Source organism: Homo sapiens, chromosome 11 (genome assembly GCF_000001405.40).
Source record: "Homo sapiens chromosome 11, GRCh38.p14 Primary Assembly".
NCBI lineage: Eukaryota > Metazoa > Chordata > Mammalia > Primates > Hominidae > Homo > Homo sapiens.
Window position 1 is genome coordinate 82,972,255 of NC_000011.10, and position 15,846 is coordinate 82,988,100.

Genomic DNA, 15,846 nt, shown 5'->3' on the forward strand with positions numbered 1-15,846 from the left:
AACACTATGCCAGAGAGCCCAAGGTCAAAGGTTTGACCCCTTTGTCATCCTGTTAACTCTATCATGTTTCATGACCTACTGTACTCTTAGTCCAGGACATTCATCTCTGAAATGCACGCCCAAGGCAGAGGGTGAGAGGTAAGGATTGGAGTGGAAATGAATTTCAAGAAAAGGTACAAATCTATGACTTTTGCAGTGGAGATGGGGGCATCTAAAAGGCAGACTCTTGTGCCTGCCCTATGGTACATGTTCAATAAGTGGTGAATAAATGGATGGGTGAAGGAGTGAATGTCCTGCTAGTGATGAGTAATCTCATTACTAATTTTGTAGAAAATCTCTAGTAATATCACGTAATGTGTTTTAGCTGGAAGGGACCTTGAAGCTATCTAATCTGGTGTCCACATTTTGATAGTTGGGAAAAATAAAGTTTAAAATGAAATGACTAACCTAAAGTCACACTGACTGGGACTAGAATTTATGGCTTCTCAATGTCAGAACTGGGACTAGAATTTGTGGTTCCTAGTTCTCAGTGTAATACTCCTTCCAATATATATGATAGGATAAAGGATCTTTCTCACCAATAGAAATAATTAGCATGTAATTTTCACATCCTGAAATAGCAGAGTAGTCTCGTTTAGTGTTTATAATCGGAGGAGGCCTTAAAGATTATCTAATCTAGCCCCTTGTTTTATAAAGTAGAAAACCATAGTGCAAATGTTAAATGACTTGTCCAAAGTTAGCCAGTTAGAAAATCAACATTTAACTCAGGTCTCCAGATCCCCCAGATCCAGGGCACATTTTGCACCGTGCTGAAAGACATTAGTACACTTAAAGTTTGTTTGCTTTTTACATATTTTGATGGCATATGATTCTCCAAATGTGGGCAACAGGAAATGTTTATTTATATACAAGTACATGGGAAAGCAATTTCCATTTAGTTTTTTTAAAAAATTGTTACAAATAAAAAGTTTTTAATACATTCATCCTTTGCACACAAAATACATTCTTTTTCTTTTACTCTCAGTATGAATTATTTCTTAATAATAGAAAACATAGGCTACAATGAATGGACAGTCATATGGTTTGGTGATTTGACAAACTTTTTTCAAGAAGCAAAGTCCAATTTTAAAAGACAGACAATATATAAAATAACTTACATATTTAAAATGCTACTTCATTGAATCCTAAAAGATTGAATGAGTACTCTTATCCAGCATGATTTGTAGTTGTCCTTTAAACAATGCAGAGGACAAGAAATCCTCTATGTGATGGCAACTCAATTTCTACAAGACTGAAACAGTCTTCATGAAATTGATTGCTTATCACATCTAAATGACAGGCTCATAGAAAAATTCTTATGGATGTATTGGGGAGTTAGTCTTTATTCAGAGGTCTCCTAATTGATCAATTAAACTAAGATCGTAAGTTGCACTCTCCAAACAGGATTGCAAGAGGTTCTACGTAAATAAACATAAATGATTTGATTTGATTTGTCAGACTAATTGTTTTTAAGAGAGATGTGAAAACATACACCCATACAAAAAACTTTTACATAAATGTTCACAGCAGCATTATTATAATCAAAAGGTGGAAAAAACCCAAATGTCCATCAAATGATAAATGGACAAATAAAATGTGGCATATACATGCAATGGAATATTATTTAAACATGAAAACAATGTACTGATTTATGCTACAACATGGATGAGCTTTAAAAACATTATGCTTACTTAGAGAAGCCAGACACAAAAGGCCACATGTTGTTTGACTATATGAAATGTCCAGGATAGGCAAATTCATAGGGACAGAAAGTAGATTAGTGGTTGCCGGATGCTGGGGGAAGGAGGAGGAGGAGTGATTGCAAATGGTATGGGGTTTCTTTTGGAGGTGATGAAAGTGTTCTGAAGTTAGGGAGTGGTGATGTTGCACAACTTAGTGAATATGATTAAAAACATTGAAGTTTACACCTTAATAGGATAAACCGTATGGTGCATGAATGATATCTTAATTTTAAAAAGAGATGCAACTTCATTTAAGAATATTTTGTTCAAGTTTGTATTCCCTCCCCACTTCCCTTTTTTAATGTTGATTGAATTTTTCATACAATCACCTTTCTACAGAAGGTTTTCAGCTAATTGGACTCGGGTCATCAGTGGGTTATATTTCTAACAGGCTTTTTGTTAAGTAAAAAGATCAATATATGAACACATAAAATATGATGTAGTATACTGTTAATATTTGCATATTAACATTTAAAATCAAGTACTATTCTTATATTGAAGTTGGTTAGATTTTATATAACGCTGTATACAAATAATACTGATATCCTATGCTTAAAACCAATAGCCAAATATCAAGAATCGAGTTCATAAAACTCAGTGATTAACCTGTTTATTAGTTAAAACTATGTATGTATTAATATTAAAGATCCATGTTTCAATGGAGTGATAGGAAATGTGGGGGAGATCAAGGATTCTCTAAGTCTTCATAAAGCAGCTTCTCTAAATATTTTAACTAGCTGCTGAGATCTCCAGAATTATATATTTTGCATTTTATTTCATCTCTATACTAAAAGTCATGCATTAAAAGTGTGTACAAGATATATGGGGCACACTTTTCCCTTCAGATTATCAAAAACCTCTTTTTACTCCTGTATTATCTGAAATTTTGAGCAGAGTTTGTTGTTTTTTCTTTTTTTTTTTTTTTTTGCTGAAAACAGAAATTTTGCTCACGAGTTAGTTCAAATACATTTATGTAGCTCCCTTATATACTATCAAAGGAGCTCCAACCATCTGGTATGTCTGGAAGACACTTCAGTGAGTAGAAATTAGAAGCCAGCATTTGAAATTTTCTATCACAGGGACATGAAAGCCTAAACCGGCCTTAAAGGGATAAGAGGATTTTACATTTTTAAAAAATAAATCAATTAACATTCATTGTCAAATAACCTACAAGAAAGTTCCACTAGCATTCTGCAATTGTATAGAATAAGAGAATATTTGTTGCTAATGATTACATTCCAGAAAGCAATATGTTTAGCAGCTGTTTTTCAAAAGACTTGTCAAGTTTTACTATTGTTATTTAATCCAGGCATAAATGTGTAACCTTAAACAAAAACTGTGCATTATTCAACCAGCTAGTGACAAATTATCTTAACAAAGTAGATTATCTTTTGCTTTTCTGTACATGAATTTTTTCTTTATTAGGCATTTTGTATTCCAATTTTTGTTTTAGAATTTAGTGCACACGTAGAAAGGGGAAGAAACGCTTTTGGATGTTGGTAATTATGTACATCAAATAATGTCATATATGAAATTAAAAGCAGATCACAAAACCGAGATTCATGCCTCCATTTTTACCAAGGGGAGGAAACAAGAGCCATACAGCCAGAATAATTCTTCAGAAGCACACTTTGTTATCAATTATGTAACTAAAGAATCAAAGTATGTATATATAACTGAAGAGTTAATCAACAGTAAGACCGTGATCTACATCTGATACCAATAAGAAGCTAAGAGTAATAAATACCTATCCTGACATTCACTAAGTAAATAATGACTATCATTTTAATAATCATTATTTTTTCTGACTGTTATTTTTTTTAAATAGGCAAAAGAGCAATAATAAATGGCAAATGTGGCTCCTTAAAAAGAAGATAGGGATCAACCCAGTTTTCTTCCCATGAAGAATAGGAACAAGAAGAAAGAGGTTTAAATTGCTCTGTGAGGTATTTCAGTTCTAAGATTAAGCTTCCTGATAATGAGTTTACAACCCTGGAATTGCCTATTGGGAGAGAGAGAGAGACCACCTTGCCTGAAGTTTGTAAAGAAATGGAGGGTGACAGTAGTAATGCCCAAAGGCAAAAGGATGGATCAGACAAATGAATTCCTTTTAAGGCACCCTTTCAGAAATGGAGTTCTTTTCTTTGAAGCCAGGAAAGTTTCTTTGTTTTGTCTCTTAAGGATCTACACTTGGCATCAGACCATTCAAAGTCTGCTCTTAATTAAAGTGAAAAAGAACTAATATTTGAGTGCTAACTGTTTACCAAGCACTGTACTTTCAACTTATCTCATCTAATTTTCACAATAATCCTGACAGGTCTATCTCATAGATGAGAAGATTGATGCTCAAATATTGTGCTTCGTCTAAAGTCTCAGCTAATTTGTGGCATACTAGAACTCCTCACACCTAAACTAGTGTTTCCCCTTCTATATAACTCCCCACATCACTCTCCAAAGTGTCAAAGTCAGCAACCACCACCGATTCCGTCAGGAACTAGAACACAGCATCTCCAAAAATTCTGCTTTAAATCAATGGAAAAGTAAAATTTTGGCTCATACCTCAAGAAGTCAAAGAAGTGGTGACTAGCCTTTGTGCTCTGACCTCTTGTCCAAAGGAGTCCAAGAAAGTCTCAATCAAACTCAAATAGATTTGTCACCATACAGATTTAAGACCAATGACTTAAAAAAACAAAACAAAACCATAAAAAAAGACCAATGAAGAGCCGTCTATCAGCCTTGCAAGGGTGAAAGTTATTTTGCAGGTGGAATAATTTGGGCCATAGGCTTCAATAGCAAAAATTGCTTACAGTTACCTCTAATTTGCAAGTCAAAAATACTTGTTTTTATTGCTTTCCACATAAAGCAATTTGACCTCAGTTCTTTTAAACTCATGTATTCTCAAGAGAATCAAACCAACTAAGGAAATGTCATTGATACTTTTCTAAAATAGATCTTGTGGACTGCTTTATGTCAGTGACCCACCAGCCCATCTCTCTTGGGAGTTGGTCTGTTTGTGAGAACTTTAACAGAAGATTCTGCTCTGTTAAAAAGGCCTATCCTAAAATCTTGAAAGAGACACCCATTATTTATTAAACAGAGCAAGGCCTATGTTTAGCAAGTGATAAATGAATATACTTCATGTAACTTCTACTAAAACAATACCTTTTGATTCAACAGGACATCAATGAATGGACCGACAAAGCAAGTCCAGCATAGGGCATAATGGAGGGCCAGTCTCTTGGCCTAACAACGTGCAACCAACCTCTTCCCTGAAAGATAAAGGTGGGATGCACTTGTGGCAGAAGAACGAGGCCCCATTAAAAAAATCATTAGCTATGAATTAACAGATATTTAATTGAACATGTTATGAGAGGCAAAGTACTACATACAACATGGAATTTAGGTTAATAGGTCACCTGCTCCAATCTCCAACCAATTGGATCCTCTCCACATCTTTGCCTCTTGACAGAGGCTATTACCTGAGGCAGACTGTCCCATAGTGAACCAACTTTTTGAGAATGGTCGCCCTGACATGGAACCCAAATCTGTGTCCCTACGGCCTCATTCAGTAGGCCTCATTCCACCCCTCTGAACCACAGAGCATCTTGTTCTAATGCACTAATTGTATTCCCCTCTTTTTCCTAACCTAAGTCTCCCCAAATCCTTCAAGTATTCTTTAAATGGCTTGCATTTAAAATTCCTTCATCAGACTGGTAATGCCTCAATTTGTTTTTAATTTCAAAGTATGGCTCCTGGAAATGATAATAACATTCCAACATCAAGGGACTGAGGAGAGGAGATGAAATGCCATCTCCCTTACTCTAATGTTGCTATATTAATATGTGTTTTGAAGGGATGATAATTTCTTAATTCAGTATGAAAAAATTACCAGTGTGAAGAATGTAAAGGAAGGCATCTTTCCTTCCAAACGCAAATAGGCTCATGCCACAGAAATGAAATCCAAAAAGAAAGTAAAGAAAACATATCCCTCCCTTATCCCAAAATTAGTGTTTAACCATGCTGCTTAAATGGAACACATTTTGTCTGAAGGATGAGAAGCAAATGTTGTTTCACAGCTTTTAATTCTTTAGCGAAGTCTCAAAAGTATCATAGTATAAACATGTCAGGACCATGGTTGAGAAAAGTAACCAGTTGCAGTTAAAACAACAACAACAACAACAAAAAATTTTGGAAAAAAAGGAATGGCAAACTCTAGAAGATCTCTCCCAGAGGCTAATAGAGCAATGATCCCTAAGTACTCATTACTATGAAATACAGAGTTCTACAAGATTAAGAAATAAAAAAGACATTAGATTTTTGCCCTAAATGACAGGTAATAAATCTAAACTTAGGAACATTTCCTCACAGTTCAAAAAGTTCTGCCCACCTTGATTAACTTGTTTTCTGAATACCTTTAGTTGCTGGCTTAGTGGAGAAGGCCATTGGTTTGATATGCAAAAAAAAAAAAAAAGATTTTTTTCTGATTGTGCTATTTCATTCATGTGGCTTGGCTTAAAAGAAGATGTTTCACTTTAGTAGGAAGACCAATTCAAACATCATTTACAACTGACGTTTATTCAGTATGAGTCATGAACTGAAACTTGGTGTGGGATCTGGTGGAATTATGGGCTAGCTTAAAGGGTAATGTGGCAAATCATTGGCCTAATTCTGTGGGAATCACCAGTGTCCTCCCAAGGCATATATTCATGAATGAAAGAAGATAAGAACCCAGTCCTTTGCTAAATCTGGCGTCTCTGGCCAAATCTAAACGGCTTAAATAATCCTCATCCAAATATCTTATTTTGGCCAATCGTTTCTACCTTCCTTATAAACTCTAAATCAGAACTTGACACATTGTCAAATCAACCCATTTAACTTTCATTTTTAGTTTTCTTGCCACTTTACTCAGGGAGAGATAAAAACGTGAAATGATTAAAAGACCGAGAAAAAGAAAGGCCAGGAAGAACCCATGGCCTAATCTAAGTAATCCATCAAAAAAGATAATTGGCCCTGTAAATTCAAAAAATATTAATATAATTCAACAGATTTAATAAAAGCACACAAAGGGAGAAAAAGCCTTCTATGGGCAAAGAAGCACAAAATCCTTTGAGGATGTAGTCTATACAAAGCCATAAGAAAATATCATTATCAGCAAACTATTATTTCATAGATTTTCCCAAGCCTGACTCCATGACATGAGTATCATGCATTTTCACTGGAAACTGAAAAAAGTTTTGCCATATATTTAATAACTTTATTGAATGAAGAAAAAGATCACACCAAAAATGGAGGAATACATCAACCCTGGTGGTCTTAGTAGACCGAGCCAAATTAAACTATATGATAAAGCAATTTCTCTTTTTTCATCCACCACTAAATGAGAGTTCATTTTTATCTAAAGAAGGCTCATCTTAGCAAATATTGCCATGACAATAAGACTGTTAGGCAAACCAATAAATTTAGGTTCTGGCCTGGGTTAAGATGACTGTATTTAGTGTCCTTTCTCAAGTTCTACTTGAAGGAATTTCTGTTTAATCAAAAAAAGCTCCCCCAACCACTACCACCCCACCTTGGCACTTAAATGTTTATTTGACTAATATTTATTGCACCTACAATATTGTCAGGGATTGTTTTCAAACTTCAGATATATTAGTAGACAAGTATCCATAAGGCCTAATCTGGAATTCATACAACTAAGAAAAAAAGAAACAAAGTCCCACATTCTCATGTGTTCCTGCTGATGGGCTGTGGATGGGTAAGTTATGGAAAGGCTGGGAGGAGCAACAAGGAAGATAGAGGCCAAGACCAGAGCTTTTTAATCCCCTTCTGAGTCTGGCCAAGGGTATATAGAGAAGGCTAAACCCTAGGGAATAATACAAGTGTGACCCTAAAAGGTATTATTTTGCAACTAAATCAGTCCAATCTAACACAGCCATTTCCTCTAAGTTCACAAAGCAACTTTATTTTCAACACACTTGCAACTGTGAGACAAAGTTGGGTCATCATGTGCTGGGGACACTGGATTTTTGCCCTAAATGACAGGTAATAAATCTAAACTTAGGAACATTTTCTTACAGTTTAAAAAAAATTCTTCTGCCCTCCTTGATTAACTTGTTTTCTGAATACATTTAGTTGCTGGCTTAGTGGAGAGGATGGGGAGGGAAAGGCAACAATTATTATAAATTATTTTGGTTTTTATTAAAATGACTTTTCTTTCCTGCAGAGACAGATTCTAAAAGAAAAACAAGTCAAACTTCTGGGATGCCTTTCTCTTTCCCACAGGATCAGGAAAAACACAGTGAGGCCAACCAAAAGTATCAGCCCCTTAAAAAATATGCATAATCTCATGTGCAAGACACTGGTCAATCTAGAACCTGCTAGAGAAATGCCAGAAATGCTTTATCCACATCATGTCTCTACATGACTAATTTCTTTACAATTAAATAGCTTTCAAACATCAACATATCAGAACTGAGATTGTCACCATCTACAGCAACAGTGGAATTACACATCATATCCTTATTCCATTACTCATCCCTCAGTTATGCTAAGCAGCAAGCTACAGAAACATCTGACAGCATCAACAGCATACAGGTTTAATTATTTTCCCAATTTGCATTTATATCAGTGAACAAATTGGAAGCTATCAAAGTATGGCACTGAAGAAAAAGAAACACATATTCAGCAGCACATCTCCCATTTTGAGTCCTGTTTTTAAATTGGCTAAGTAAAGGCATATACACCTCCATTTGAATTGGAGATTTGCAGTAACACAGGCATATAAGGATGGGAGGGAAGGAGGGAGGGAGGGAGGGAAGAAGAAAAGGAGAGACCAGAAAAATAGAGAGGAAAAGAGAAAGAAAAAAGAAAGAACATATGGTTAAGCGTCTGAAGGTAACATTATTACAAGAAGGAGGGGATAAATGACAGTTCAATCTGCTTCCACGAGCAGAATTTTTCTAAGGTTATCATCGAAGATATAAAAATGGGTCGTGAGACTTTTCATCTGTTGCTATTCTCACTTATCATACTAAAAAATCTACAAAATCCTAAGCCTTGGTCTGTCCAAGATGGAGAGTACCAGGAAGTAAAAGATGTGACCTACTATCAAGGACTGTGCTCTGCTAGGAGCCCTGCACTACAGTCCATTAATCCACAGTATTTTGGTCATATCTGGTCTGTTTCCTCATACTACTCAAAATGTGTTAGAGCTAAGTTTTTATATTAGAATGTCATCAACCATTTGTTTATTTTTTTCATTTTGCAAACGTTTTCATTTACATAAAGGGCTGGAGAGACAAGAAAGTGGTAGAGATTCAGAGGGGAACATAAAAGGAAAAGTATTCTCTTTTCCCAAAAATCCACCTTTAAAAAGGTAGTAATGAGACTTTGAGAAAGAGTGCTGATTCATGGACTTCCCCCATTTTTTTATTTCTATATAACACATTTAAGGACATTAATGTACTAAAACGTTTGGTCTGTGAAATAGCGGAATCATTAGCACCAAAAGGAGTTATGGAGCTTGTATATATTATTAAAACAATGATTGTTACTGTTGGTCATGGGTAAAGGTTTCATTTCATTTTTACATCCCAAAGTTCTTGAAAGTGCCTGTGGACAAGAGAAATAACACTTTTCAAAATCTCCATGGGGTCGTCAATACGCACCACAGAGACTGTACTTGGCCTTCCCAGTTTTGGTTTATCTGGTAGACAAGAAAACCAGGGCCCCCAGATGATTACCACCGAAGCCCTAAAGAAGAGTTCCCACATGCACCCACTGATGTGCAGGAGGGATCCCTACAGTACATTTCCCCCCGGACTCTGTTTAGGAATGCGCTTTTACTTGCTTTTTAAAAAAACAAAAGCAACATGCTCTGCAGATCATGGAGTGCCTAGTGCAATTTTCTCCTTGCTCCAACTCCAGACTGGAAAAGGGTGAAACCATTATATGTTCTGCTAATGCTGGCCTGTGGTCGAGGCCCTTGGCCTGCCATGCTTTGTAAGCTCAGGAGCCCACAGGAGTCAGAAGGTCAGAGAGCGGGAGCCACAGTCATCGCCAGATCTCCCCAGCATCTCATGGCCCATCAGGGCAGTTGCTGATTCCTTTTCTTCTCCGTGCCTCAGCCTTTAGTTGAAATTACAACAAGTCAAATAGCTGATGCTTTTCCCTTCTCCAGGTAAGGGTGAGGATACATTGTTCACAAGTGTGTTCTGTCTGGCTTCACTGATGAGTCGGCATGCTAAGTCAAGGAAGAGTTTCTCCACATTATCAGATTCCTTGGCTGAGGTCTCCAGATAATACATGTCCTGAGCTTCTGAGAATTCTTCAGCTCGCTGCTGGGAAACCTCTCTCCTTTCAGCCAGGTCAATCTTGTTGCCTATAACAGTAGTAAAATCAAATAAAGAATCAGCATTTGACTTTTTGCAGGCTGAGAAGCATCAAAATTCAACTCCATATCTGAAGTCAAGCCAGACAGATGGGCGAGTAAAACAAAACAAATGTGACTGTGATTACTGAAATGTTTACTTTAAAATATGAGTGCCAGCTGGGCGCAGTGGCTCACACCTGTAATCCCAGCACTTTAGGAGGCCAAGGCGGGTGGATCACCAGGTCAGGAGTTCGAGACTAGCCTGGCCAATATGGTGAAACCCCGTCTCTACTAAAAATACAAAAATTAGCCAGGTGTGGTGGCACGCACCTGTAGTCCCAGCTACTTGGGAGGCTGAGGCAGAAGAATCGCTTGAACCCCAGAGGCAGAGGTTGCAGTGAGTCGAGATCATGCCACTGCACTCTAGCTTGGGTGACAGAGTGAGACTCTGTCTCAAAAAAAATAAATAAATAAAAAATGAGTGCCATTCATAATGGCAAGAACTGGAGACAACCCAAATGTCCATCGGTAGGGCACTGACTGAATAAAGTATGGCACATCCACCCAATGGAGTATTTGCTGCCATAAAAATCAATTAGGAGTATTTCTATATACTGCCATGTAATGGAAACACTGGGATATACTGTTAACCAAAAAAAAAGCGAAGCAGAAAAAAAAAGCATATACAATACGCAACTGTCTATCCAAGAAAAAGGGAAGGATATGAATACATATATTATACACACATTTTATTTATTTTTTTAATAGAAGACTAGACCAAAATCTTAATTTAAAAGAAAATGGTTACCTATGAAAGGAACAGGGTTGAGGTGAAAGGAATAGAAACCAGACCTCTCTGAATATACTTTGTTTTGTAGATTTTACTTTAGGAACTTAAAAATGCTTTATATAATTATACAATTAATTTCAAAATTAAATTTAAAAAGCAATCCCTAAAAACTGAGAGCAAAATTAAACAAATGAACATGTTCATCATGTGTGGAATAACCACACAGACCGTAACCCTTTTTTTCTTTTAACTGAGACAAGGTCTGGCTCTATTGCCCAGGCTGGAGGGCAGTGGCGCGATCCTGACTTGCTGCAACTCCACCTCCTGGGCTCAAGCCATCTTCTCCCACCTCAGCCTCCCAAGTAGCTGGGACTACAGGCAGGCACTACCATGCCCAGCTAATTTTTTTTTTTTATTTTTTGCAGAGACAGAGTTTCGCCACGTCCAGGCTGGTCTTGAACTTGTGAGCTTAAGCGATCCACCTGCCTCGGCCTCCAGAAGTGCTGGGATTACACGCAATTGAGCCACCGAGCCGGGCCAACAGAGTAACTATTTCAAGGTGCTTAAGATACAGTAATTTAACAGTGCAACCCCAGTGGTATATAGCCTAAGGACAAAAAGAATTGAAGGAAACAATCTTGAACTGTTTCAGTAATCATCTTTTTGGTGGTACTGTTGGTATTATTATTCTGAGGTTGCTATCTGTGTATTATGGGATAAAGCAAATGAGTAATTATGCTGGTACCATTGGGAACTGGGACTTTTGGCATAGGAAAAAGGAAATATAAATATAAAATTAATGTGGTTAAGTAAAATTTCTGCAGTCCTGAATTATAAATAGAAGTATCAGTATGAATAATTCATGATGTATTTTATCTTTAAAAAGTTTTCCACCTACCTCAAATTCTCCAGGAAACCTGACAAAGGTGTGTCAATTGTATTATCTGGCAACACCGCTTATGGTAAAAATGACCCCTGATTGATAAATGACTTCTGGCCTGGGAATTCTATCTAAGAATTATAAATACCTAATGGAAAGCCATAACTTTGAGCTTCCCTGAATGTGGTGACTTCATTTGAAGAGACCCTGGAAGTTATGATTGTGGAGTTGTTATAATAGATTTAGTCTCCTATGGGGTATTGAGGCTGCTAGGCCAAGGCAGATCCTCCATCTGTTTGACATGAGCCTTGTTCCCTCATACTAGAATCGTCTGGGGGTTGCGGACTGGGTAGGAGGTCCTGGAAAATTACGTGGACTGCTACTGGGATTACTTCCACTGAAGAGGGTTGCCGGATGCTGATCTGCTGTCAAGCTGTATTTCCTGTCCTGTGTCCTTCTAAGTGAACACGATGCCACGCGTGGTCTACGGTAGTCTTGTGAGTCGGAACGCTAGCAGAACCTAATAGGAAAACTCTCTTGAGGATACTACAGAATCCACCACACACATGCACACATACACACAAGCTCTGTCCACTGAAAGGCCTAAAAACAATGGCCCATCAGGAGGGCTCCTAACACCTCGGTTGTGGCCTCTAAATACGACTTCCCATTGAAAAGAAAGCACTTCTTGAAGAAATGGCTAATTCCAGGTCTGGGGCAGGAAATGCACAAGTTGTGGCTGGAACACTTGTCATACCAGAAAGCAAAAAAATTATCCAACATTCCTGGGGTCATGTCAAAAGGACTCAGGAGCCCATTTGAAGAAGCTCCCACTGGCAAAGTCGGAACAATGGGAGCATCAATAATAATAATTGCAAGGGACTGAAATACATCAAATTTACTTATTTAGTTAGTTTTTGAGACAGAGTCTCGCTCTGTTGCCCAGGCTGGAGTGCAGTGGTGCAATCTCGGCTCACTGTATCCTGTGTCTCCCAGGTTCAAGAGATTCTCCTGCCTTGGCCTCCCGCTGGGATTACAGGCATGCTTGGCTAATTTTTTGTATATTTTAGTAGAGATGGGGTTTCACCATGTTGCCCAGGCTGGTCTCAAACTCCCGACCTCAAGTGATCCACCCGCCTCAGCCTCCCAAAGTGTTGGGATTACAGGCATGAGTCACCATGCCCAGCCCATCAAATCTATTTAAATCTATAAATTTATAATAATATTACAAATATAAACAGATGTCAATAGTTAACTTTTAGAAGATACTGGAGAACCAGCTTATTACCTTGAAAAGTGGTGAACAAAAAAGAATCAAGCATTCTTCCTGCCTGTTCTATGAGAACTACCCCTCAGAGTATGATATATGTAGTGTTTTGTCTAAAAAGAAAACCAAAAAAATCCTGACTCTCATCAGGCCTCTAGACTTATCTATAAATCTGCAAGAAATATAGGTGATGGAGGTGATATCAAATGACACCTTGGGGCGATAAAACAAAATTTAGACTTGTAAAGCCTATAGGTCAAACAAATGCATTAGCAAAAAATTCTAAGAGAGAAAAAAAATGAGAGTGGAAACTTCATAAAAAAGGATGAAAAGATGTAGCTGTCAATTACAACATATGGACCTTACTTGGCTTTTTTTTTTTTTTTTTTTAAAGAGTCTGGCTCTGTCACCCAGGCTGAATGCAGTGGTGTGATCATAGCTCCCTGCAGCCTTCAACTTCTGGGCTCAGGTGATCCTCCTGCTTCAGCTTCCTGAGTAGCTGGGACCACAGGTAGATGCCATCATGCCTGGCTAATCTCGCTACATTGCCCAGGCTGGTCAGAACTGCTGGGCTCAAGCAATCCTCCTGCCTCAGCTTCCCAGAACACTGAGATTACAGGTGTGAGCCACCATGCCCGGCTTCTGGACCTTATTTGGATCTTAATTTGAACAAACAAACGAAAAAAAATCATGAGTCGATCAGGGAAATTTGAACACTGTCTAAGTTTTTAAGGATACTAAGGAATTGTTAACATATTTTAGGTGTAAAAATGCCACTGAGGTTAGGTTTTCTTTTTAAAAATCTATTAGAGATATACACAGATATTGAAACATGAATTAATACAACCTCTGAGATTTGCTTCAAAATAATCTGAGGGAGAAGGTGGACAGCATTGCTAGGGAAGAGAAAATAAGATTGGTCATGAGTTGGTAACTGTGAAAGCTGGGAGATGTGTAGAAGGGGATTCACTATACTGTTTCTCTACTCTTGTTTATGTCTGAAATTTTCCATAGTAAAATTGTGTTTTAAGCCAATTCCTCTTTCATATTGAACTAACTGTCTCCCCTCAAATCTTCATTTACCTTCCTTAGATAAAATCCCAAGTAGTAATGCTTTGACTCAAGTTCCCAAAGGCTTTCTGTAAAACAGAAGGTACAAATGCAGACCTCTCAAATGCTTTATGGCAAAGGTTCAACATTGTCCAAAAGGGTTTTACAGGGAGCACTAGCTCATAGAAACACAGATGCTTCATCCAGCAGCCTGAAGGAAAAGTCCAGCAATTTGTTACAACGTAACATATTACAGCTGGACAACTACAGGGCTTGGAGTTGATCTTACATGCTATGTGACCTTGGGAAAAGAACTTCACCTCTTTGAGCCGTGGTTTCCTGATCTGTAAATCAGGGATCATGACACATAAAGTTCCTCGTATCATTCCTGGCACATATATACCAATTATAACACTATTCTAAAGTGTTTACTGAGCTTATTATTAACCATAATTTGTAACTTAACAATGCTTCTAAGGATCTCTACTCAAATTTCCCTAATTCAGGTATTGCTAGACTATATAGGAACGTTCCTTTCTAGGAAGAAAATATGTTAATGATCAAATGGTTACTAACACTTTTCCACTACAAACAGAGAAGTTTTTAATGACCTGGTCCATTTCAATGCATATATCAGTCATGATAGAAAATCAAGGGTTGTTTTGTGCTTTCCCCCCATACTAAATAGAGGTTTTATTCTCCTACAAGATGAAACAAACTACAGCATTGCCCTTAGCAGATTCTTTCTGAAACACAGAATTTCTCAAATCAGCCTAAATGTTAGGAAGGGAAAAAAAATTACCAAAATCCACCTTTTAGGCAATAAACAATTGCTTCAATAATGAATTCCATATCAACTTAAAAGATACATTTTTCTTCTAGAACAGCCATTCCTTTCATCTTGTAATTAGACTTTTTAAATTTTTAGCAGCTCACATAACTTTCATGGCCATCCAACTTCTTCCCTAGAGCCTACATTGATAGAAAATGTTTTCTACTTTATTTTTCTAAACTGTCACCATGGGATAGGACCTATTTCATTTTCTCTTCAATTGCAGAAGAACTGAAGGTTGACTGCATGAATTATTAGCTAAAGACTATATTCTTGGAAGGCACCAATGTATAAGCTTTATGTGATTATAAATCCTCTAATGCCCACAAATCAATTTCCCTCCTCGTTAGCCCTTACTTACCCACTAACACAGTGATGACCTTGTTGCTGGCATATTGTTCTATCTCCCGCAGCCACTCAGGAAGGCAACGGAAGGATTCCTCACAGGTAATGTCATAGGTGAGGATCAAGGCATTGGCGCTTCGGTAGTAACTCTGGGTAATGGACCGAAATCTCTCTTGACCTGCTGTGTCCCAGATCTGTAGCTGTAAAGGCATAAGATAAGAATCAGGTGAAGAAGGATCAGGTTGGAGAAAAAAAGAAAAAAAAAGCTTTGCCTTGCTTTGGTTTGAAAATGGGTACACCTTTACCCAAACAATTTCATGGTTATTTTCTGCCCTAAAAAAAAAAAAAAAAAAAAAAAAAAAAGCACTGAAAATTAAAAAAAAAAAAATCTGTTGGGTGTGTTTCTGGTTAGGGAGAGGGGCTTATTTTGTTTTGTTTTGTTTTTTCTTTGTTAAGAGTTTCCTTTTCATTCTTAAAAAAATACATATAGGAAATTCGTCAAGCATTTATTATGTGCCAAGCTCTATTCT

The 15,846-nt window shown here is 37.3% G+C and overlaps 1 protein-coding gene across 4 annotated transcripts in view; it reads right to left on the minus strand.

The window, feature by feature from the left end:
- Positions 1-878: 878 nt before the first annotated feature.
- The window catches only part of RAB30 (RAB30, member RAS oncogene family), a 98,765-nt gene continuing 83,797 nt past the window's right edge, over positions 879-15,846 (minus strand). For all 4 annotated transcript variants that reach the window (NM_001286060.2, NM_014488.5, NM_001286061.1 and 1 more), the window contains 2 exons: positions 15,333-15,516; positions 879-10,161 (listed from right to left, as the gene is read on the minus strand). In NM_001286060.2, coding sequence (NP_001272989.1) covers positions 9,911-10,161; positions 15,333-15,516 — 435 coding nt within the window. In that variant the 3' untranslated portion in view covers positions 879-9,910. The remainder of the gene's footprint in view (positions 10,162-15,332; positions 15,517-15,846) is intronic.